Source organism: Homo sapiens, chromosome 6, assembly GCF_000001405.40.
Source record: "Homo sapiens chromosome 6, GRCh38.p14 Primary Assembly".
Taxonomy (NCBI): Eukaryota; Metazoa; Chordata; class Mammalia; order Primates; family Hominidae; genus Homo; species Homo sapiens.
The window spans coordinates 1,718,499-1,743,109 of NC_000006.12; the positions used below are offsets into that span (position 1 = coordinate 1,718,499).

A 24,611-nucleotide genomic window follows, 5' to 3' on the forward strand; every position below is an offset into this window, starting at 1 on the left:
CCATGTTCTGGCACCTGTCACTGTTTCTCTCGCCTGGGCTGCCCTGGTTCCGTGAGTCCCTCATTACACCCACCCCACCCCGGGCTGTCCCGGCAGCTTCGCAGCTGCTTCCCTTTCATCTGAGAGTTTCTATTGGACAAGGACCTTATCTCATCTATCTTTAAATTTCTTGGTGTTAGACTGGGACTTACCTCTACGGTAATGGAATGTTCAATAAACATTCTTTTCAAAATTGAATGTTAAAAACTCAACCATGTATTTTCATATATATACATATATATATATTTCATATATATATATTTTCTCATATATACTGATATATATCTGAGAAGCTGAAGGTAAATCAGAATTATATTTTAAATGTGCATGGTCAATGTACTATCTAAAATATTCCTGTAATAAATCCTAAAACCTGCAGAATCTTTTAGTACCTACACACAGTCACTTATTTTTTAGTTTGGATATTGTTACACCAGGTTTTCATGGGGGCAAGGCATACCTGATTTACTCAGGAAACTAGCAAATTGATGACAGCATTACAAAATGTACAAGGTAGATTTTGCTATTAAGGACAGTTCCTATTGCTGAGTAACAGCGGAATGAAACCAGGTATTTACTGATGGGCCAAACCTGGTAAGCATTTGTCTAGGAGGCAGATCAGAGCTACTAAGTTGGGACGGAAGCCCGTCAGTGGTGGACCTATCACCTTGGCAGTTAATGACAAAAGGAGCCAGACGAGTTTTTGCCTTTGCTACTAGATGTAACAGTGGATAGAGAAGCCGGCCTGGCATGAGCCACAGGTGTGGGCAGTGAGGTGGTGGGAGAAGGCATGCAGGGTGAGAAAGGTGGCGCAGAGCCCACGGTAGATGGGCATGACTACATTTCAGCCCCAGAATATTCTAGTGTCTGCAGAGCAACTGTTTTCAAGTAAAGAAGGTGCTGGGAAAACAATCAAATTTGATAAAAAATAATTAACTTTATCGAGAGCATGAGGCAGAACGGGGTGAGAGAAACCACAGGCAGTATTATCTGTGAAATCTCCATGAACACAGATTTTTGGATTGCTGTTATTTTGGAAGATAAATAAGGCTTGGTGGAACAGGAAGAGCACTGCTGATTTGTTTAAAAAAAAAAAAGAGAGAGGGATTTTTTAGATTTCCGAATACAGAGGTCATCGGCCAAAGATGAAAATAAAGATGGAACAGGTAATCACACCAGGGACGAATGGATCTCTCATAAGTAATTCTATTCTTTAGGTGATGTACTTCAGAGCTACTTTAGGTAGAAGTTGAGCTCAACAACTAATTGTTCCTCCTATGGAAAGTTGATGCAGATGCTAAAACAGACTTTTAAGACGATAAAAAGATTTTGAAACTTATTTTGTAGACGTCAATAAGTCTGCATTATGATTATAAATGAGGATAGTCAGCCATCACCTGGATAGCTTTATGGAAAAAAGGTACAGATGTTGCAGGAATTCCTCACGGGTGCAAGTAATGGACATATCTGCACTAGGAATACCAGAAGGACTTAAGGATAAATCAAAAAATATTCTTAAATAAGGGAAGATACATAGCTATGTATAGCCATAAAGATTTTTGAGTCTTTAATGACATCATTTTAATCTAGATCTGATAATAAGAAAAGAAACTTCAAGGAAAAAAGGAGGAAGTTGGGGTTATTACAATCAGTACACAATTACTATTTCATTAGATATGAAATGCTCTTGAGGGGGGAGAGCAACCGAGGAAAGAACCCAGGCTTCAGGAGGAATGTTATATGGCCCTTGGGGATTTGTATGCGATCCTATGAAGTATGGAAAACAAACAGTGGAATATTTAAGAATCAACTGAAGAGACTGAAACTTAAAGCTCCCTTGGTTAAGTCCAAGGAAGGAAAAGGGCAGGAAAGGCCAATGTGATTAAGGAAGGATATAAAGATTAGTATGAGGAGCCTAAGAGGGAGGCTTAAAATATATAAACAGTGATTTAGAGATATAAACTATTTATAAAATACAAGCAGTAAGAAGTTCAGAGAATAATTACAAAAGAGGAAGCATTCTGATCAGCATTCCACACTACTGTGGTCCAAAAGTTATGGGAGCACAGGATGCCAGGATATTAAAATGGGAAGGGACCTTACAGAACGAGTAGTCTCGCCTCTCTTTCTATAGGCCCAAGAGTGCAGGAAGAAAGGCACTCATCCTTAATCTGCTCTCTCCACATCCTCTGACCCTGGCTCCCGCTGGTCAGAGAAAGGAACAAAGAAGAGCAGGGGTGGAGGGGAGGATTAGAGCCTTAGAGGTCAGAAGGAGCAGGAGCGGGAGGGATGGACTGGCTTCTAACAGAGCTGGTACAGATGAAGGGATAGAGTGGGGGGATCTAATTTCCTGCTTTGGGAGGGGAAGTGTGAGAAGGTGGTGAGAACAGCTATGGGAGAAAAGGGGGACAGTTTCAGGACAAAAGGCCAGGCTGGTGAGTGTGTTGAGGGCTTTTCACCCCCAAACGCAGAGACAGAGCTGAGGGAAGCTCTGACTGGCATTTATATAAGTCCTCTGATGACAGATCAGGTTCCTGAGGTCTGGAAAGTGTTACATATCATTATTCTAAACAGGGCTATGAGATAGAGCAAGCAATTATAGGCCATTTAACTTAACATCATTTACAGAAAAATATTAGGAAAAGTTTGCGGGGGGTGGGGAGGACAACTCGACAAGCATATGGTAATTTGATCAGAAACAGGCCACATGTTTTTACGGGAGGAAGGTGTTGTTTTAACTAGCTTGTTGGACTTCTTTGAAGTTATTGCTTTCTTAGTTCTAGGTTTTAACCTATGATTTTTCCCTGATATCTATAAAGATTAGGAATAAATATCAGATATCTAAGTAAATAAAACAAAAACCAATCACAACTGAGGAGATTAAAAATACAATGGGAAGAAAAAGAAAAATGAATGTTAAAGACAAACAGTGTAGCAAGGAAAAAAAGGAGTAAACATCAGCTAGTAGAGTTTAAGCCAAGATACTTTTCATGAAAAATACTTGATTTGGGTCTGTGAATGTGTCCCTTTATCCCATTTCCCAAGATGCTCTGCAGAAAAAAAAGGGACTTTTTGTTTGTTTGACTGAAAAAAATCTCTTTGCTTTTTTTTTCTTTTGTTTTGCTTTTTTAGTGGATTGACCATTTGATGTGGTTACAAATTTGGCACGTTAGGATGACTACTTCATTAATCCTTCCTTTGTGAATTTTTAAGTTAAAAATTCTCACATAAGAAGACGACATATTTGTGGTTATTTTATATATATTAATAGGTCAATAGTAGTTTTCTCATATTTACACAATATTTCTGTACTACTTACTGAGTAGCCCCTGAACTTTCAGAAACAGGATCAGAAAGGCTGAAAACCAATAAAAAAATGAGCATCTTAAAACGTGCTTAGTAATACTCACTAGAAGCTTCAAGTATGTTTCATTATCCATTTTTGGCTGGTTAGTCTGCACAAGTCACTAACAATGTCGTTCTGCTTCTCCAAAGATCCTGGACTCCAGGAACTGCTATCACGTCTTTTTTTTTTTTTTTTTTTTTTGAGATGGAATCTTGCTTTGACGCCCAGGCTGGAGTGCAGTGGTGTGATCTTGGCTCACTGCAAGCTCCACCTCCCGGGTTCCCACCATTCTCCTGCCTCAGCCTCCCCAGTAGCTGTGACTACAGGTGCCCGCCACCCTCCCTGGCTAATTATTATTATTAGTAGTAGTAGTAGTAGTATTTTTAGTAGAGATGGGGTTTCTCCATCTTAGCCAGGAAGGTCTCAATCTCCTGACCTTGTGATCTGCCCGCCTCGGCCTCCCAAAATGCTGGGATTACAGGTGTGAGCCACCGCGCCCGGCCAAACTGCTATCATTTCTACATTTGCAATCTCCACAAGGGTGGGGACTGTATCTGTTTTGTTCATCATTGTACTCCTAGGGTCTAGCACAGTGTTTGATAAATACTTAGTGCATGAATGAATGGTTAAGAACAACATCAATATTAGATATTTACTCTGTGCCAGACACTGTACTAATAAGTACTTTGCATAACTGACTCTGTTAATTCTCCAGTAATTCTTTGAAAGAAGTCCTATTATTAATCTTATTTTTAAAAATGAGGGAACAGAGGCACTGAGAAGTTAAGGAACTTGCCTATGGTCGCACAGCTAGTAATCAATAGGTTTCAAACTCAGGCAGTTTGGCCAACAGGCCCACATTTGAGCATAATTACCACTTTCTCTCTAAGAATGAACACACAATGCAATAAATCTGTGCATCAGTGTATGCATGTACAGAAAATTATACACAAGACAGGGGTCTTAAGTGGCACAGAACTCAAGTACTAATGTTATCATCAACAAATACCAGAATTCAGGAGTGATGGAAAATTTAAAGTCTAATTTCCAGGATCAGGCTCTCTGTGGTAACAAACCCCTGTAGGCAGAGTACCAAAAAATGTTGCTCAATTGAGCTTTAATTGGATGCTGGAGTCCTTAGTCCAGAACAAACACTTTGAAAACTTCACACTGGTACAGAAGCGATATTGAAGGTTTTGAGGCACTAAATCAATGAGGAAAAAGAAATTACCAGCACAGGTGGAACTACGCCCTCTATGGAACCACTGGTGGCCTCTTTCAAGCTAGTACCTGCCTTTGCTGAGCAAAGGGCCATTTTTGAGACCATTCTGAGTCTTATTCAAAACATAATATAAAGCTCTATTTCCCTTTAGTCTTGCTGTAGGATATCAGTGTTCTGAGACCTGATGTGTCCTATTTTTTTTTTTTCAAATTTTCTTTATGGCATTTTTTTTTTTTTTTTAGACGGAGTCTCGCTCTGTGGCCCAGGCTGGAGTGCAGTGGCACGACCTTGGCTCACTGAAAGCTCCGCCTCCCGGGTTCACGCCATTCTCCTGCCTCAGCCTCCTGAGTAGCTGGGACTACAGGCACCTGCCACCATACCCGGCTAATTTTTTGTATCTTTTTTAGTAGAGACGGGGTTTCACTGTGTTAGCCAGGATGGTCTCGATCTCCTGATCTTGTGATCCACCCGCCTCGGCCTCTTTATGGCAATTTTTTTTTCCTATCAGTCATTCCGAAATGATTCTAAGAAGACATAGTTATTGGTTTGAGTGTCCCTCTGTGCAGAAGATCTTGGGGGACAGATGACCTAAGCTGATCGGTGAAAGCACTTTTACAGACTATAAGAAGAATAAGAAGCCTTTGGCATGTGCAGGATGGACTGAGTCCCTGAGAAGGAAAGATTCAGTTTAGATGTGAGAGAATTCCACATGTATCCTAAGTTGAATGTAGACAAACCTCAAAGAAGCTTGGTGCTTTTCAGGACTCATACCAAATGGCTCTAGACCATTGGCTCTTGGGACCTCACACCTAACTAAAAGCTTATTTACAATATAGTCTCCAGTTCTGGTTACCTTTCAACTGGAAGAATATTCTCACCCCTGAGGCAATTCAACAGGAGGCTGTCAAGTTGATCCAAGTTTTAGGAAAACTTGTTGTTCTGAGGAATGAGGTTAAAAGTTTAGTCTCACCATACAGGAAAAGCTTACCCAGTGGAATATTAGGTTGAAGTGGAGTGAATGAAATTAATGCAGCCTAGAGGCTTAGAAAGATAAAACGTAGTTCAAGATTCAAAATTGGACAGTAAAGGGAAGCTCAGGAGAGAGCCAAATCGGTGGAAAAATAAAGCAAGCATATGAAATCAGACACCACTCTTATACTCAAAGAATGCTAGTGTCAACAGAGCTGCAGAACAGGTATGATGATAGCACTTGAATGAACAAAAGAAACGGGAGGGATGCGGCGTCGGTCACGGCAGGAAAGGGGGTCGATGCGGATTCAAGAACAGTCTTGTTAGTCTGAGGGTCCTTTTCCTGTTCAGTGAATTCTTTTGTTCTGTGTCCTTATCAATCCCACACCTTGTCTAAGTAGGAATGACAGACAAGCCATTCTTAATGACTTCCTAGCTTTTGAAACTATTTTGGTGTCAGAGAGGGAAAGAGCCACATTTAAGTTGTAAAAATTGAGGTTTCTGTTGGCTTAGTAAATTTCCTTCTCTGAGATGACCATTTTTGATTGTAGATACAGAAAAGCATTTGCATAAATATGTGATCTGTGCAATGTTCCAGAAAATTGACATCTCTGTCGCACCTCATCAGGCCAGAGAGTCAAATGGCAGCACAGCTCAGGGCTCCAGTCGGCAGTCCCTGCTATGTCAGCACAGCGTGGCTGGCATCTTCCTCCCTGAGGGCCAGTACACATCCTCTCCTAGGCACACCCACTCTCCATTAGCACCGGGAACAATGGTTCACTGTGTCAGAGCCCCGGCCACGCCCTGTGCCCGGACAATGCACGACTCCACAGCCCTACCTCTCCCAAGCACTGGTTACTTCCTTTCCTTTTTATTTCCTCCTGTGTGGTAGAGTGCATGAAATACAGTTTTTTCCTTCTGTCTGAAACAAGACATTTTAAAGAGTGGTAAATGATGACCGATTCACTTTCAGTCTCTCTTCACTGGGGTTTTCCTAACCTCTCCAAGGTTGAACAACAGATAGGAATTTGGTTCAGAACACAGGGAAAATGGTTTCAAAAAATTCAATTTTCACAGTTAATGTTCACTAGGTAACACATATGAACGTTTCTCTCTAGAGATGATGCTTTCTATTATCTTTAGGTATATTTCATATGTTGAGCTTTGCTTCCATAGTGAGGATGGACCTCATTAAAGCAATAACAGCAAGCTAGGCAGCTTTATAAGTTTAGGAAAGGAGGATGTTATGTTCTAACAACCATTTTGTAACACAGGAAGTTCTGTATTTAGAAATTCGCCCATCCATCTAGCAATCAGTCAGTATTTATTAAGTACCTACCTTGTTATAGTCTAGTGTAAGATTTTTTTTTTTTTGAGACGGAGTTTCACTCTTGTTGCCTAGGCTGGAGTGCAATGGCGCGCGATCTCGGCTCACTGCAACCTCCGCCTCCTGGGTTCAAGCGATTCTCCTGCCTCAGCCTCCCGAGTAGTGGGGATTACAGGCATGCGCTACCACACCCGGCTAATTTTGTATTTTTAGTAGAGATGGGGTTTCACATGTTGGTCAGGCTGGTCTTGAACTCCTGAGCTCAGGTGATCTGCATGCCTCTGCCTCCCAAAGGGCTGGGATTATAGGCATGAGCCACTGTGCCTGGCCTTAAGATATTTTTTAAAAGTCCCTATTCTCAAAGAGTTCACAATTTGGTAAAGAGAGAAAGACATGTAAACAAATGATTATGGTGGGTTATAGTAGGTACTATAATAGAATTATGTATAGCATATAATGTGGATACAAAGAAAGGAGTGGGAAGGAATTTCAGCAGTACTGATGTATCGGCCAGAAAAGGCTACATGGACAGGGTGGTCCCTGACCTGAGTCTTATAAAAAGCAGGGGAGACCATTTATGGTATAGTGTGCAAGTATGCACTTGTGTATGAGTACACAGACACAGACATAGACATAGCTGGAGAGGACCTAGATGTCCTGCAGGTCTGGGACAGCGTTGTTAAGTCAGGCATCCTGTAGGTTATCAGGGACCAGCCATTAGAATAGGAGACCAACATGAGGAGATCTGCGTGTGATGTGAGATTCCATTTCTGAAATCAATGATTTCTTTTGGTGGGTTTAACTCTTGTTTTCCTTTATAGAGCAATGAAGTTTGTGGTAAGAATGATAATCTCAAATTGAATTCACTGTGTTCTGATTTTGGAAATGCACGCTGAAGGATGCCAGGGAGCTGAACTGACAGCTCCAAAGGCTGGCACCAGGCATTCCATGAGCGCATTTGCCCAGCCAGCCAGCCAAATGTGGCCACGCACTGGGTGGCCAGAGAGTCCTTACCACTTCAGTTGGCCGGTAGTACTTGAGATCCACAGTCACGTGAACTTTGCCGGTCTCTTTACATCTGCCCACTTCATTTTCATTCTTTCCTTCCCACCTGTAAGGAAGATAAACACTGAATCAGCTCCTAATTGCTTGGGAACATTTGGCCATGCTGTAGCACCTTGGGATGCCCCAGCCCTCTCCCCGCAGGAGCGCTTAAGCTCATTAACCACAGCAGCACAGGCTGATGCTCCAGCTGATTATTAAAGCAACGGCGACTTTCAAAGCCTTTCTAGATCTGTTTTGCAAGGGCAGCGTTTTTTTCCTTTTCAAGAAAATCATGACGAATTCAGAAGTGAGACTTTAGAAATGAACAGATTAGCCAGAAAATAAAATTGGGCAACTTTCAGGGATTTCAAAGATTTTGTATTTCTCTAGACCATTCTTGGTCAATTCATTATTATTAATTAATAAATTATTATAAATTAATTAATATAAATTAATGTCTTCTGTCTTCCCTTTTTTTTTCTTTCTTTTGTAGTTTTAGGGATATTCAGAGTTAATTCAACACATTCCATTTGGGAATAAGTTTTGTAACCTAATTAACCATTCAATGCATCCCTGGATCACATACAAGTTCTCCTGCTCTCCCGTCAATGGTGGGCCCCCTTAGTAAGTCTCAGATGATTAAACCTCCAAAAAGTACAGAACTAATTGTTTGTTTCCTGCTGAGTGAGGGTATATCAATATTACTTTCCTATAACCTCCTCTGACCTAGCTAGGATACTGTTTGCACACAAGTTTCCTTCCCTGAACATCCAAGGTTGACAGCAGTAAGGATCCCAGGAGCGAGTCCTCAAGTCCACACTATGCAGGATGAGCTCATATGCTTCGAGATTACCTTCTCGCTAAAATTCTACTTATCCATTTTATGTTCTCATTTTTTATAAATCAAGCCACTCACTTAATGGTAACGTCTGGATGTCTATAATATTACAGAATTTGGGTTATTTATTTTTACATATGAACTTTTTTGCAAAGAAAGAGAAGAAATTAACAAGTATGACATGTTTGACTTTACTGTTTATCCTTAGAACTGGTTTGCATTATGAGCTGGAGATGAATCCTATGGACACAGGACAATTCTGTGTGCTCTCGGGGTCAGAGTCATCATGGGGAAGACAAAATTAGTTACCTGCCTATGTAAGCCACAGGCACCACTGAAAATGAACATTAAATGTTGATCCCAGTTATATTTTGGAATAGGTTGAGAATTAAAGACATAAACTGACCTCATAAGCCTTATTTCTGATGAATCACCTGAATGTTCTGTCAAATCACTTCTTGGTAGCAAAGGGGAAATATTTCACCGTTGGAGGAATAATCAGTTTGTTAGTGTGCTGAATTTACCAATGGACTCAAGGCAAGTATGAAAACTGTCCTGTGACACAGAGAATTATATAGCGCAGTATGTTGAATAATATACAGCTGTACAACTGGTCATTTCCCCATGACTTTTATATTAATTAATTAACACAAAAAGGGATGTTTGGTAATTTGTTTTCATTTCTTCCTTAATGTTGATTAGATCAATTTGGCAGGTCATATAGGTCTAAGAATTTCAAAGCAAGGGAATTGGTAGGTAGGATCAGAGCTAAGTTTTTGGAAAATTCACCGGGAAACGGTAAGTGGATGTTTTGGAGCATGGAGATTGAAAGCGTTTTAAAACATAACCTGAAGGAATGATGACCCTCATACATCTCCTGTGGATAAAGACCAAATCTTAGCTAATATCCACAGGAAGGGAGGACAATTGGTTAAGTCATTATTATTATTTTTTTTAAATAACTATCTAATTCTAAAGTTAATTGTTTAAGTAGAACCTTTTAAAAAAATTTTGGTTAGGCTTTCAGTAGATGAAAGTATATTTGTATTTCACAGGCATGTTTGATCTATTTTTGCTCACATTTCGTTCTTCGCAAAGAGAAACAAGTTCAGCAGATACTTGCGTGATAGTACCTCCAACCAAGTCAAAGGGTTAACAGAAATACCATTTACAATTCTGCTGACTGATTTTTCGCCTGTAGCTGGCCACGCTGACTTATGTGCGCACCAATATTCCACTGTTCTTCCACTGGTAAATCTCAAATGCCACAACCATGAGAACTGGTGATTCAAATCTATTTATAATTCAATTTTTAAAAAATCACACACAAACACACACACATATTTAAATCGACAAAGCCTTGGTAAAGACTTGGAGAGCTTTTCTTGTTTTAGGAGGGAGCGTGTGAGTCAGGAGAGGACTGAGGCCGTGCCTGAGGGGTCTTTAGACTTTGGTGGGGTCTGTAAACTGTTTCTGTGAAGAGCCAGACAGTAAATACTTAAAGCTTCACAGATCACATATAGTCTCTGTTACATATTTTTCCTTTCTCCTCTTTCTTTTTCTGTTTCTTCTTCCTCCTCTTATTTTTTCTTCCTTATTATTTTCTTCTTTTTTTAAACCACGCTTTAAGACTGTAAAACCTGTCCTTACCTCCAGGACAGTAAAAAAAAAAAACAAAAAACAAAAAACCAAAAACAAAACCAAAAGGGCCTCAGCTGGGATTTGGCCCACAGGCTCCAGTTGCCCACTCCTGCTTCGGCCGATCAGGTTAATGGTATCGCCTCACCCTCAGCTGAAGGAAAGCATTTAATTCCTGTTTATAGCAGTGGCCTGCACGGCTAGACTGCTTGAATTTTAGTGTCTACTACTGATTCTCTTTGATTGCTTTGCTGGTCATAGACTCACATTTGGGATTTGTAACACTAGCTGAAATGGGAAAAGGCTGAAGGAGAAACACTCCCTCTCTGAGGGGTTTATTAAATACAGCCTGAAAGTCAGACTTGGGTCTGGTGCTACTTTGGCACTCAACAGGCACCAGCTCCCCTGCACGACTTTCTTGCCACTGTCTGAACGCTGTCTGCTGAACTTGCATCTTGCAAATGCTGTCTACAGTCAAAACAGTCTCTAAGGGCATGGCATTGCCCTCTACAATTAATATAGCTACATTGAATGAGCAAATGTAATCAGGAAATGGCTCAAAGCTGAATTGAGTTGGCAAAAACCACTTTCTAATTTGCACCAGGTCTGAATGAGGGCAGTAAGCAAAAGTTTCGGCCAAGTGCCAAAAAACATTCAGTTACAACAATACATGAAACACTTGTATTAACAAGTAAAAGGTAACAGCTAACATGTCCTAACAAGTGATGTTACGACTTGAAGCAGGGCTGCTCTGTTAATGAAGTGACGGTGGCTTGACAGAGAGGAGAGGATTCGGTTAATTAACAAGAGTTACTACCCACGAATTGAGATCAACAGCTCACCGAGCAGGGATCCTGTATAATTCAATTTTTAAAATAAATTGTTGGCTCCTAATAAGCATTAAATAGCAATAGAAAGCACTGAAGAATAACAGAATCAAGGACAATAAGGCAAGACAAAGCGCTATGAAAATCTACTCAACTCGGCATTCCTTTGAAGGAGCAACAAAAGCAAAGTCAGCCACATGAGTCAAGTTTGGGGCTATTAGACCTAAGTTGGTGGGGGCGGGGGAACAACACACTCCTTGTAGTGACCATGAGTCAAGTTTGGGGACTATTAGAGCTAAGTGGGGCGGGGGCAACACACTCCTCGTAGTGACCCAAATATCATAAAAGCGCTCAGGGATTATTCTGAAGAAAGGCGATTTAATTAGGGTATGGAAGTAGGAAGCTGCAGGAGCTAAAATTTAGTCAGTGCCATAAGGCAGGCCTGGAGGAAGCATTAGCTTCTGGATAAAGATGGTGGTTTTCACACACTTTTGCTCCTTCCGCAGACCCCTTTCAAAAAAGGAATAAACTCACATGAGCTAAGAGGGCAGGAAAGAGATGTGAGAAACCAAATTCTGGAAGCTGGAAAGCAGATGGATGAGTGTTAAAGGACTTAGCAGAAGTCCTAGAAAAGTCTCCTAAACCAACAGTGGGAGAGCTGAGAATGGCCCCAATTTACACTTGCAGAAGTTCCCAAATGCTCAGGAAGTGAGACCTGATTGCAAATCTCCATAGGCAGCAGTCTGGGGCCTGATTCCCTCCCCGACACTCACTGCCTCACCCTCCCTGAGGTAGAAGGTGGCTGGACTGAAGGCTACAGGCTCAGTGAAGAGTGGGTCACCATGCTGAAGACAGAGGAAATTAGGTGCTTGTATGCACGATGAATACTGAGGCCCACCACACAGCTCTCTGTGGGCTGACAGTCAGGCCTATTTCCTTCCAATGAGGACACTGGGGAGGCTCCTCTGGGCATCAGAGATTCTCCAACTAAAAGGCCCCGTCAAGTCCTCTTATAATAAAATAGCCACAAGATCTAACTATGCTCTCAAAACTCACAAGTAGCTTTTTAGGCCCCCCACTTTTAAAGAAGCAGAAAACCAAGTATTACGAGACAGGAAATATATAAGGAAAATCACATATATGAAAAATAGAAATCCAAAGAAACAAACTGAAAAAAAGCAACGTGGAGGAAGTAGAACAAGCAGGGGGAGGAGAATCAGAAACAAAATAAAACAAACAAGAAAATCCCCACATCTACCACCTTTGACGTCCTCAGACAGAGAGATCAGGAAAGATATCAAACAAACAAGAACAGGATACTACATAAAAAGAAATAATGTGAAACACAGGATTTTAGAAGTTGAAAACAAAACATAGAAATTCACAATCCAAGAGATGATTTCGAAGATACAGTTGAGGAAATCTAATCTCCCAGAAAGTAGAGCAAAAAGGTGTAGACATGAAAAACCAGAAGAAGGAAGATAAGAACATTAGAGTGCCTCAGGGCAGTCAGTATAACAGGATTTCCAGAAAGAGAGTACAGAAAAAATGGAGCAGAGCAAACAACTCTCTTAAAATAAGTCAAGAATACTGATCAAAGCAGAGAGGCACATGCATTTCCACACCAAAAGGGTGTCCTCCAATAACGAATGGGTCTAGACCCACCTCACATCAAGTTCCACACCACTGGGACCAAGAGAAGGTCTGAAACACTTTCTAGAGGGGACAGACGGGACTGGGAGTCAGAATGGCTCTTGGTTTCCCATGGTGATACTGCAAATTAATAGGCAATGGAGTAACACCTTCAAAGTTCTGAAGGAAAATTATTTCCAATCTAGAAATATATACCAGCAACATTATTAATTTTGAGATTGGACTAGAGATATTTTCAGGTATATTTTGTCACAAAGTATTTGTTTCCCAGGTATCTTTCTCAGGAAACTAATTATGATTTTGCTTTACCAAACCAAGTAGTCTTGAATAAGATGTCAGGAAATAGGGGCTCAGTGCAGGATAGCAGCTAAGAGAGCCCCCCAGAGGAGCATGAAGTGACACAGCAGGGTTTGACCTTCTGGGCAGTCCACACGGGGTCAGGTCAGAGGCTCTAGGACTGCCTCAGGAAGATGTGACTGACAGCCCAACCGGGGTTTGAGAGCCTAGAGAGGTGATTTGCACAGCTGGAGCAGAGTATGGGGTAAAGTTAGTGATAAGTACACAGAAAATCAATAGAACAGAGAAAGAAGGCATCTGTTAGCTCTACAGTAAACAAATGACAATTGTACATAGAAGATAAAATAGGCCGGGCATGGTGGCTCACGCCTGTAATCCCAGCACTTTGGGAGGCCGAGGCATGTGGATCACAAGGTCTGGAGTTCAAGACCATCCTGGCCAACATGGTGAAACCCTGTCTCTACTAAAAATACAAAAAATGAGCCAGGCGTGGTGGCGGGCACCTGTAGTCCCAGCTACTCGGGAGGCTGAGGCAGGAGAATCGCTTGAACCCAGGAGGCGGAGGTTGCAGTGAGCCCAGATCGCACCACTGCACTCCAGCCTGGTGACAGAGCGAGGCTCCGTCTCAACAAATAAACAAATAAAAATAAAAAAAGATAAAATACATGTGGTTTACTGGAATGCATAGCATTCGTCAGTCATGGTAATGTAGCACTAAATATTGACTTGACTCCAAAATTAAAACATAACAATTGAGTATTAAGAGAACGGAGGGATGGGTCAAGGGGAGAAGAAGAGGGCAAAACTCTTGTTTTGAATAAGAGGAGGCCGACAGATAAGTCCCAGAAGGGCAAAATCAGTAACGACATGTTATTTGGAAACATGGAGATAAATGCCAAAATAATTGTAATACAGTACAATAGAATTTCCAGAAACAAATAATTATCTTTAAATAAGACAGTGTACCACAGCAGAACAACAAACATTTCTGTATGTCGGAAAGGGCCCACAGAGCACCCCAAACAGCAGAGCACAGAACATTCCCTAGCAGATGGGCTTAGCCAGGGAAATGGGCAGGGAGGAAGCAGGGGTAGGAGACAGCAGGGATTTGTGAGAACTCCTGTAGAATGATTAGAGGACTAGGGTGCTGGGGTAACTGGACAAAAACATCTAATAAAGAAGGGAAAAAAGAATTACAAATGTGAGCTTTGTAAGTAGCAGATGTGAGTGACAAACCCCCTCCCCGCAGGCCCCTCTACGTTGCAGAGAAAGCGAGACTGCAACGAAGAAGATGGGCCTCAGCACACCCCAGCCTGAGCTCTGCCCCAGAGATGGGTATTCTGTCACACTAGCTCCGCTACAGACCCAGCACTTCCTTACAGGATTCCCCTGTCACCCTGCCTCTGGATGGGGAGGGGATGACATCTTTGGCTCCATCAACATTCCAGATCCTGCACCACCACAGAAGCCACTAACAGGGTGGGCAGATGAAATCTGCAGAGAAGACAGAGCAGGCAACCCTGGGAAGAGGCAGGCCAAGGTGAAGTATGCGACCTCAGCAGCCCAGGGAGGAGGGCGGTCAGCACTGCCAAACTGTGATGATGGGCAGATGTCAGGAGGATGCAGGGACTCAAGCAGGGCCCTGGGCACATCAGAGAAAGCTACTTGGATAGGGTGTCGGGAGCTGAATGGATGGGGTGAGGCTGTGTGTGGAGGTGGCTCCTTGATGCCTTTTGGCAGAACAGGGGGAGAGAGAGGCCAGGCAGTGACTGGAGGGACCCCGATTCTGAAGGGGCCTCTATAAAAGACGAGAGGGAGCCTCAAAGGAGGGCCAGAGGCCAGATGCAGTGGCTCATGCCTGTAATCCCAGTACTTTGGGAAGCCGAGGCAGGCGGATCACTTGAGGCCACGAGCTTGAGACTAGTCGGGGCAACATGGTGAAACCATGTTAGGTCTCCAAATACAAAAATTAGCTGGGCCTGGTGGTGTGCACCTATTGTCCCAGCTGGGCCTGGTGGTGGTGTGCACCCATTGTCCCAAGTACTTGTGAGGCAGAGGTGGGAGGATTGCTTGAACCTGGGGGGCAGAGGTTGCGGTGAGCCGAGATCGTGCTACTGCACTCCAGCCAGGGCGACAGAGTGAGACTCTTGTCTTAAAAAAAAAAAAAGAGGGCCAGGGCTGAGTGGGGAGGCTGAGCGGCAGCCTGAGCCTCTTGAGCAGGCAGAAGGGCTGAGGCCATAGGCCAGGAGGAGGCACTCTTCCAAGGGGCATCGGGGCGACCTGCTAGTGGGACAGGGGAAAGGAGGGCGGGTGCCGTTTTTATGCTTGGGAAGCACTGCTTTAATCACAGAGCACTCTAACATTTAAAATACAGCGCTAGTGTAAACGGTGAACCCTGGATCTATGAGAACCTTAGCTGTGTATGGCCTCTTGCATTGCTACTGAAATGGAGGCTGGTTAGCCTCCATCCATGCCTAGAATTCTTCCATCTTATTTATGATAATTATTCTAAGTAAGGGGCTTCTGGCAGTACTCAGCCCAGGTGTTATGTTGTAGTTAAGGAATAACCATCTACCACAAAAAATGTGAAATTTAAATCCATTATACAGCTGTTCATGTAGAAGGCACTTCTTAAGATTAACGCCTACATCTATTCTGTGATTTCTCTATCGTGGGGCCCTTATGAATGTCACTTGCTGAATTCATATGCCAAGAGGCAGGCAAGTACCATCATCTGCAGTGCATAAATGGAAGAACACAAATTCACAGGGCTGAACAATTTACAGATGGCACGTGGGGAAGGGGTGCTGGAGCCAAGACTGCCAAGCCAGGCTTCTGGGCTGCCCCACCCTGGGCCCAGACAACACCTGTTTCACGTGGTCTGAGCCAGAAAGGTGTGGTGCCCTCTCAAAAGGGCATGGCCATTTTTGTGGGGAGGCCTCCTCAAACATTAATTTCAGTAAGAGTGGTCAGCTGGTCAATACTTCCCTTGCTTTCTTCTTTTTAGCAGTAGGACTGAGAAATTACTTAATAGGGAGGCTCCCCTCTAAACAGCCTTTTCTTATGCTTCATCCCTAGGAAGTCAGACTAGGAAGATGAATTCAACAGAAAAAGCCTTGCGAGGTGGTGCTACTGAGGGTAGCTGAAGAGATCAAATAATAATAATGATAATGGTAACAAGAAGACAAGACCAGAGATGGCTCTCCTCGGCTGTGAAAATGACAGTGAACAGATCTTCTGACGCAGAGCTAGCATTTCAAAGAGCCTCAGCGTGTCCACGCTACCTCGCACAGCTCATTAAATGCGCTCCAGCTGCCTGCTTCATTTATATTTACCCAACTGGGGCATATTAGCCACCCCCAGTGGATAAGGATGGAGCTTCTGCTGTGTGGGGGAAGCAAAACTTACAGAGGCTTCCTGAGGGGCCACAGTGAGTAGGTGTGCCAAAACGACCAGTGCCCAAGTACCCCCAGAGTCGCTGCCACTGTTCTGGGCCATCTGCATCTGCACCTCTTTCACCTACACGACTGTGTCTATCCATCTCCCTTCCTCCCATCCCCACAAATCTTCACCAAGCACCCGCTAGGTGCCAGCCAGTAAGCTAAGCCAGTTGCTAAGGACACGGGTATGTGGAAGCTAGACATGTCTCTGTCCTTAAGGAGCCTGCAGTCTATGGCCACCACAGTCTTGTGAGGGAATGATGGCAGAGAGCCAGGGTGCTGTCAGAGCCAGGAGGTAGGCACCTAGCACAGACTAGGTGGAGGCAGGGTGTTGGTCAGAGGGAGGATGCCTAAGCTAAGACCTGAAGAATGAGTGGGAAGTGGCCAGGAGAAGCAGACGGAACTGTAGGAGCAGGCATTTGACGAGCCCAGTGTGGCCAGGCTGTTCCACCCTCGCTCATCAGCTTACCCAGTGCCCACACACAATGCACTAGCTCCTGCCTCCATGCCTTTTCTCATGCCCTCCCACCCACCTGGAATGTCTTCCTCCTTCCTATCATCCGTATCTCCCAATCTGGACAAGGTCCAGCTTACATCTAACTTTCTGCAAACATAACTCCAATCATGATTGTGAGGCTATTACTTCAGTATCAATATAATAAATTTGCACAATGTCTTCATATTTGCACAGATATTTGTAAATAATGTGTTCTTATTAATTGACACCCAATTAGAGTCTATATTTCTCCAGGGCTAGGAAATCTCTTTCAATTCTCTTTGATTAGTTTGGCATTGAGAGGAAATTAGATGAGCAAATAACACATTTATAGAGCACCTAAGAGGTGTGAGGTGCTGTGCCAGCTGTTTAGGTACTTATGAAGGCAGCAGTTATTTTGAGGATCTAACAGACCCTTAGTTAAGAAGGAAAATGGGCCCGCGACCTGGTGAATTGCATCAACTGCCTATGAAATGAAATGAGGGTTGCCTCAGACCCACAGCCCAGCATGACATCAGGGCTCTATTTAGATCTTGCAGGTGCCAATAATTCAAAAGTCTGTTGCTCCAACAAAGGCACTACAACATCACCTTATGTTGTAGTATTTTGTTTTTTAAGGGTTAAAAATCTAAGCATCTTAGAAGTTCAGAAACATAAATGATAGTAGGATTCAGATTTCCAGGAGGGAGGTAGAGAGACAGAGAGGAAGAAAGCGAGAAGAAAAAGAGAAGAAGACCTCATTTAAATGGTAACTTGAAGCTTATATGAAAAGTCCAACCTCTTTATGATGACCAAATATAATGTGAATACTCTTGAAGGTGTGAGTCCCTTTAGAGTCTCTCCAGAAAGTTCTCATGGGACTCTACGCAGGTTTTCTCAGCATGACTGCTTTTTCTAGCTCTAATGGGGATTTTGAGTGACGATGAATGAAGGTGAGTTATATTTCCATCACTCAGTGTCACAGATTTTACTCCACCTGGTCACAGCATGGACATCAAAAGAAGCTTTGGCAAGCTGCTGAGGTGGGAGTTAAATCTATCTCAGGGATCAACGGTGGCTGGTCTAAACACACCACATTGAAAGGTTAGGGAATAATACAGAGCTGCAGTGAGTTTCCTTCTCCTGACTTTGCCCCTACATAGAACCCTTAGAAGTATGGCTCATTACATGAGAGTTCTGTTCATCACCAACAACTGACTGAGTGGAGGGATGTGCTCTCCCACAGTGAGTTTGACAGTCCCAAGCTCTGCAAATTCCCGAGGAATGCATTACAGTAGCTACACTGGCTGCAGGATCCACCCCCTGGAACCTGCTGCCAGGCCTTCCTTCTCAGGAGCTGTCTTCAAGATCGGCCTCCAGAGGCTTCATGAAGCTTAGGACCCAGGGTCCAGAAATCCCATCCATCAGGAAACAGTGTCAAATGAAGGGAGCAAGGTGCATGAGCACAAAACAGCTTGTTACCTCTGCCAGGAGGATTTTAGAAATGGGTTTCTTTTCTGATGTATAACAATGTTGCCCTTGTTACTTTTACTGAAAATGTAAATTCAGTACCACAGACTACAATAACACTTTCCATGTCTGAAACATTACCCACCTCCCACAACGACAACAAGCAGCAGATGTTGGTTCTCACCTGGTTGTAGGGTACTCTTACAACTCTCTTCTCAAAATTTAACAAGATTAATGACAGAAAATTAGTCAAGACAAGTATTTGCCTGTTTGGGTTATCCTACTATCATCTTAATTGTAGGAGAAAAGTGTTTCCTTTTCACACTACATACTTAGTGGTAAGTTGATGTGAAAGGAAAAACAAAACACAGCACTAAAAAGAGCCCCAACAATGCAATGTGCTCCACACACACACAAACACACACACACACACACACAGAGATACACACACATACACACCACACACACAGATACACACACACACCACACACACAAAAATACACACACATACACACACCACACACACCACAAACACACACACAGATACACACGCACACATACATACACATACACACACCACACACACAGATATACATACACACATACATACACACACACGCACACACCACAAAGACACACCACAAACACACACACACATACACATACACATACACACACACCACACACACAGATACACATACATACACACATACATACACACACATACACACACACCACAAAGACACACCACACACACAGATACGCGCACAGATATGCACACATACACACATACATACACACGCAACCCCACACACATACACACCACACACCACACACAGATACATACACACCACACACACATACACAGATACACACATACATACACACACATACACACACACCACAAACACACCACACACACAGACACACATACACACATACACACACCACACACACACACCACATACACCACACACATACACACATACCACACACACACCACACACATACACACCACACATATACACACACACCACACACCCATACACACATACACACACAGATACACATACACACACACAGACACATACACACACACATATACACACATACACACACACATACACACACACAGATGCTATCAAAAGAAAGCAGTTGTCATAAGGCTGCCTTTCTCAATACAAATGACTGTGTAAGAATTTAAAACGTTACCTTACATTTTATCAGGACTGCATGTGGTACTGATCTGCTTCCCCGAATATCTTCTACTAACCCAAACTCAAATTAATGTGCTATTTTCTAATAAATGCAAAACAAAAATTATTCAAATTACTCAAGTGATGTCAAAGACTTCAAGAGGAAATATCTGTGTCGATTCTAAATATACAGATGGCGACACGTGTCAAGCCTTTTCGGAGAACATTACAACGGATAAATTTTAAAAACGATAACAAAAATGGGAAGAGACAGCAGAGCTTAGAATAGCAAAAGTGAGAATGTTCCAGATGCTGATTGGTGTGTCTGATACGGTACAGCCTCATGTAATATGAGGCAAGGACACAAAGCACAACAAGTAGAACTCTGAGCTAGCAGAAAGCTTTCTAGCTTAATTAATGGCAATGCTAATGAGACTAGAGAGCTTGGCTGTCCTTCACCCTCTACATCTGGCTGTTCACCAAATCCCGCTGATTCTAAGACTCAAATCAATCGCTCCTCTCCCTCTCCATGTTCTCGGCTGAATGCAGATCCTCCTCATCCTTAGCTGGACAGCTCCAACAAGCCTCTAGGGAGGAAGCATGGTGGTTTCCCTCAAGCTGTCCCCACCATATGAGAGGGAATAAGGCTAACCATGAAATCTGCGGAAATCAGGATGACAGTGGGTGTTTCTGGGAGGACTTTCTGGATAAGCTGGCTTTTGGGATATCCACTTGTGCTTAATTAAGTATTTACAGAGCACCGTCAGCTGTTGAGAGCACTGAGGATAACCTGGGAAGGAGACGATGCCCACAGGCATGAAGACCTGGGTCTGTGTTCACTGCAAATATCCTATCACAAAGTTTTTTTTGACAGCATATGAACAAGAAGGATAAAAAGTGCACATAAAGGAAAGAGGAGCGTCTTGGGTCACAACATACTCATTTCAGACCCTGGCTCTGCTACTCCCTTGCTGTGTGACCTGGGGAGAGCACTGAACTGCACTGTGCCTCAGTTTCCTTCTCAGTGCAATAGTGCCCCAGCCCTGGAAATTAAACACAGTAGGGGTGCGGCTCCTGGCATGCCTCCAGGCTCGCCCTAACCACTCCCTGCGTGCCGCGGTGAGCATGGGCTGTCTCTGTCTGTCTTGGAGCACATCCTGCCGTTCTTCTGCAATAGCATCCTGCTATAGGGGAAGACCCTGCTCCCCCGCATTCAAACAGTGGACTTTCAGTGGGGCTGCTCATCCCAGAATCCTCACACCCTGAAAACAGGCCAAGGCCTGGGATCCAGTCCCACGCTGGCCACAGCGACAGGTCTAGGGATAACTGCAGGACCCACAAGGGCCAGCCACAGTCCTTCCTCAGGATTTTTCTAGGTGGATTGTTCTTAAAGGTTCTATTCCTCTTTTGACTGTGTGAGGCTGTGTCCCCAGAAAGGCAGTCTAGACTGCCCTCTGCCATGGGGAGCAGCTGAGGGATGGAGGCAACATCCCAGGGCACTGGAGCCAAGAAGCAGAGGGGCCCTGAAGGAGCACCAGGTACCTAAGGCTACTCTGAGTTCAGTTTCAGTTCCTGAAAAACAGAAGAACTCTGACTGCTGGGAAAGTCCATTCACTTTTCTCCCTTTCCTAATATAGTACTAAACAGTTTCACTATGCTTAAGCCTTTATTAGCATAGATACTTCACACATTTAAAAAATAATTCATGCGTATCATCCTTCGCAACTTTTGGAGCATAACAGGACACTCCTAATAATAAAATGTCATGTTTGATTCCTACAGAGAACATAAACAAAAGTGCACATATTTTTTAAAGAATAAGATGTTATGCTTACATCTTATTTTTCTCATTAAACTTGTTTAAGTATAATCTGTGTTATTCACATATACAATATAAATTTGTTAAAATATGTTAGAGAGTTATTAAAAAAAGTAATTAATGAGAGTGGCAGATATTAATTTCTGCTAAACTATACGTTTTAATTAAAATTTTTGGGCCAGGTGCGGTGGCTCATGCCTGTAATCCCAGCACTTTGGGAAGCCGAGGTGGGCGGATCACTTGAGGTCAGGAGTTTGAGACCAGCCTGGCCAATATGGTAAAACCCCGTCTCTACTAAAAATACAAAAATTAGATGGGCGTGGTGGTCCATGCCTGTAATCCCAGCTACTTGGGAGGCTGAGGCAGGAGAATCACTGGAACCCAGAAGGCGGAGGTTGTAGTGAGCCAAGATCGTGCCACTGCACTCCAGCCTGGGGGACAGAGTGAGACTCCGTCTCAAAAAAAAAAAAAAAGGAGGGTTACTTAGAAGCAACATAAATTTTATATTTGAAAAGTATAAAAAAACCCTCAATTCCAAACATAATCAATCCAACAATGCATTTTTCAGTCCACAAGAGAAGAAGGCCAATTTTTTTTTTTGAAAAATGAGGTATCTTCTTTAAAAAATAAAATAGAAGGCCAAAAGAATCAACATAACCAAATTACACTTCAAAGATTATTTTATATCTTCTTGCTTCCTATCTATATGCTATTTTCCAACTCCCCATATTATACGTAAAATTTGAAAAAGATCTTATTTTTGCCTTAATTTTCTATAATTAATGTCATTAGTTTCCTGCACAAAGTTTTCATGCAAAACAAATTTATGTAACTCTTGGCCACGAATTGTCAATATTTTTCATAAAATTGGAAGTATATTGAGACAAAATGTTCACAAAATAATTGGGCAGTATCTCTTTTTCTGAGTGTTCTTATTTTTGTTTTTAAAATTTTAATTGACACATTATAATTGTACACATTTATGGGGTACATTTTGATATTTTGACACATGTATATGTTGTATAATGATCCATTCAGGGTAGTTAGTGTATCTCTATCAGCTCATGCACATATTTCTTTCTGGTGACAACATTAAAAATTCTCTCTTCCAGCTATTTTGACATATACAATAGGTATTGTTAACCTTAGACACCCTATTGTACAACAGAATACCAGAACTTATTTCTCCTATCTTATTGTTACTTTGTACCCATTTACCATTCTCTCCCCAGCCTCTTTCCACCCATCCCTTCCTCAGCTTCTGGTAAGCACCATTCTACTCTCTGCTTCTCTATCATCTTTCTTTAGATTTCACAGGAGTGATATCATTCAGTACTTGTCATTCTGTGTCTGGCTTCTTTCACATAACATGATGAAAGAAATTTGGAAAATTTTCCAAATTTCTTTCATCTTTCTTTTAAGATGTTTTTGGCCAGGCGTGGTGGTTCATGCCTGTAATCCCAGCACTTTGGGAGGCCAAGGCGGGTGGATCACCTGAGGTCAGGAGTTCGAAGACTAGCCTGGTCAACACAATGAAACCCCATCTCTACTAAAAATACAAAAATTAGCTGGGCATGGTGGGGCATGCCTGTAATCCCAGCTACTTGGGAGGCTGAGGCAGGAGAATTGCTTGAACCTGGGAGGTGGAGGTTGCAGTGAGCCAAGATCGCACCACTGCACTCCAGCCTGAGCAACAGAGCAAGACTCTGTCTCAAAAAAAAAAAAAAAAAAAAAAAAAAGAAGGTGCTTATATTGAGACAAAACATTTAAAACTAAAAAAAGTAAAATAAAATAGTATTTAAAAATAAATGAAAGTAAAAACATCTTTCTTTTTTTTTTTTGAGATGGAGTCTTGCTCTTTCACCCAGGCTGGAGTGCAATGGCATGATCTCAGCTCACTGCAATCTCTGCCTCCCGGGTTCAAGCGGTTCTCTTTCCTCAGCCTCCTGAGTAGCTGGGATAACAGGCGCGCACCACCACGCCCAGCTAATTTTTGTAGTTGTAGTAGAGATGGGGTTTCACCATGTTGGTCAGGCTGGTCTTGAACTCCTGACCTCATGATCCTCCTGTCTCGGCTTCCCAAAGTGCTGGGATTACAGGCGTGAACCACCGCGCCTGGCCAAAAACATCTTAAAAGAAAGATGAAAGAAATGTGGAAAAACTTGGTTTAGATGCTGACCAACATCTGACAAATAACACAAGTAGGGCTGGATGCAGAGCAGAGCAAAGGCCCCACTCTACACTGAAACTTTCTGTATTGCTCTTCAGGAGAGTGAAGGGGGAAGATGACAGCCAGAACCGAGGCTTCAGCAAGCTCAGGTGCATACCTGCCAGAGAGCTACAAGTAGTCATTTCTCAGGTATACTTACACAATGGTTTTTCCAATGTGCAAGAATGATTTCTCGACAAATTCCCGGACACTATGGACCTCCCCAGTAGCTATAACGAAGTCCTCCGGCTCATCATTCTGCAACATCAACCACATAGCCTAGAGGGAAAGAGAGGCAAGTTCACTTTGAAGTCACACTCAGTGGCCACACATTGTTTTCCAGTGCACATAATCAGATATGGACATCGACAGCTGGAACATGAGCATGAATTTCATAGCATATTCTAAGCACAACAGCAATGGCTCCCAACTTTTACTGAGTATCCGAATAACATGAGGAACTTCTTGGTGTGGATGCCAGGGCTGCAGCCGTAGAGGGGTGGGCTCAGAGGCCTGGAGATTCTCTCTCAGAATATTTATCCTTAACATCCCAGGTGATTCTCATAGTGCAGGTCCTCAGACCACAACGTAGAGGAATGTGATGTGAAGCAGTGTCTATGGCAAATAACCTTTTTATGGTATTATTTACAAAAAGAGCAGTTCTAAAAGCACTGTTTAATTTTTCTTCATATCATAGATAGTAGTCAAGGAAAAAAACCATTTAAAGACAGGTATTTGTCCTCAAAAGTAGAACTTAATTTTTGAACAATAAAGTTGAGAAGGTACTAGTCAAAAAACAAAG

General features: G+C 42.7%; 1 protein-coding gene across 7 annotated transcripts in view, besides 2 other annotated features; it reads right to left on the reverse strand.

Annotated features, from left to right (window-relative positions):
* Nucleotides 1-24,611, reverse strand: part of GMDS (GDP-mannose 4,6-dehydratase) — a 621,800-nt gene that overhangs the window by 94,693 nt on the left and 502,496 nt on the right. For 6 of the 7 annotated variants that reach the window (NM_001500.4, XM_011514500.2, NM_001253846.2 and 3 more), the window contains 2 exons: nucleotides 23,970-24,088; nucleotides 7,918-8,014 (listed from right to left, as the gene is read on the reverse strand). In NM_001500.4, coding sequence (NP_001491.1) covers nucleotides 7,918-8,014; nucleotides 23,970-24,088 — 216 coding nt within the window. Of the gene's footprint in view, nucleotides 1-7,917; nucleotides 8,015-23,965; nucleotides 24,089-24,611 lie in introns of those variants that run through there. The other variant, XM_011514507.3, reaches the window with a different exon arrangement.
* Nucleotides 11,140-11,641: an enhancer, noted in NCBI's record as "NANOG hESC enhancer chr6:1729872-1730373 (GRCh37/hg19 assembly coordinates)". NCBI's record gives its function as "activates a minimal SCP1, AML or CMV promoter by ChIP-STARR-seq in naive H9 embryonic stem cells {active_cell/tissue: H9 hESC(naive)}" and the evidence as "EXISTENCE:reporter gene assay evidence [ECO:0000049][PMID:30033119]".
* Nucleotides 21,168-21,507: an enhancer, noted in NCBI's record as "active region_23868". NCBI's record gives its function as "activates an Ori minimal core promoter by ATAC-STARR-seq in GM12878 lymphoblastoid cells {active_cell/tissue: GM12878}" and the evidence as "EXISTENCE:reporter gene assay evidence [ECO:0000049][PMID:35858748]".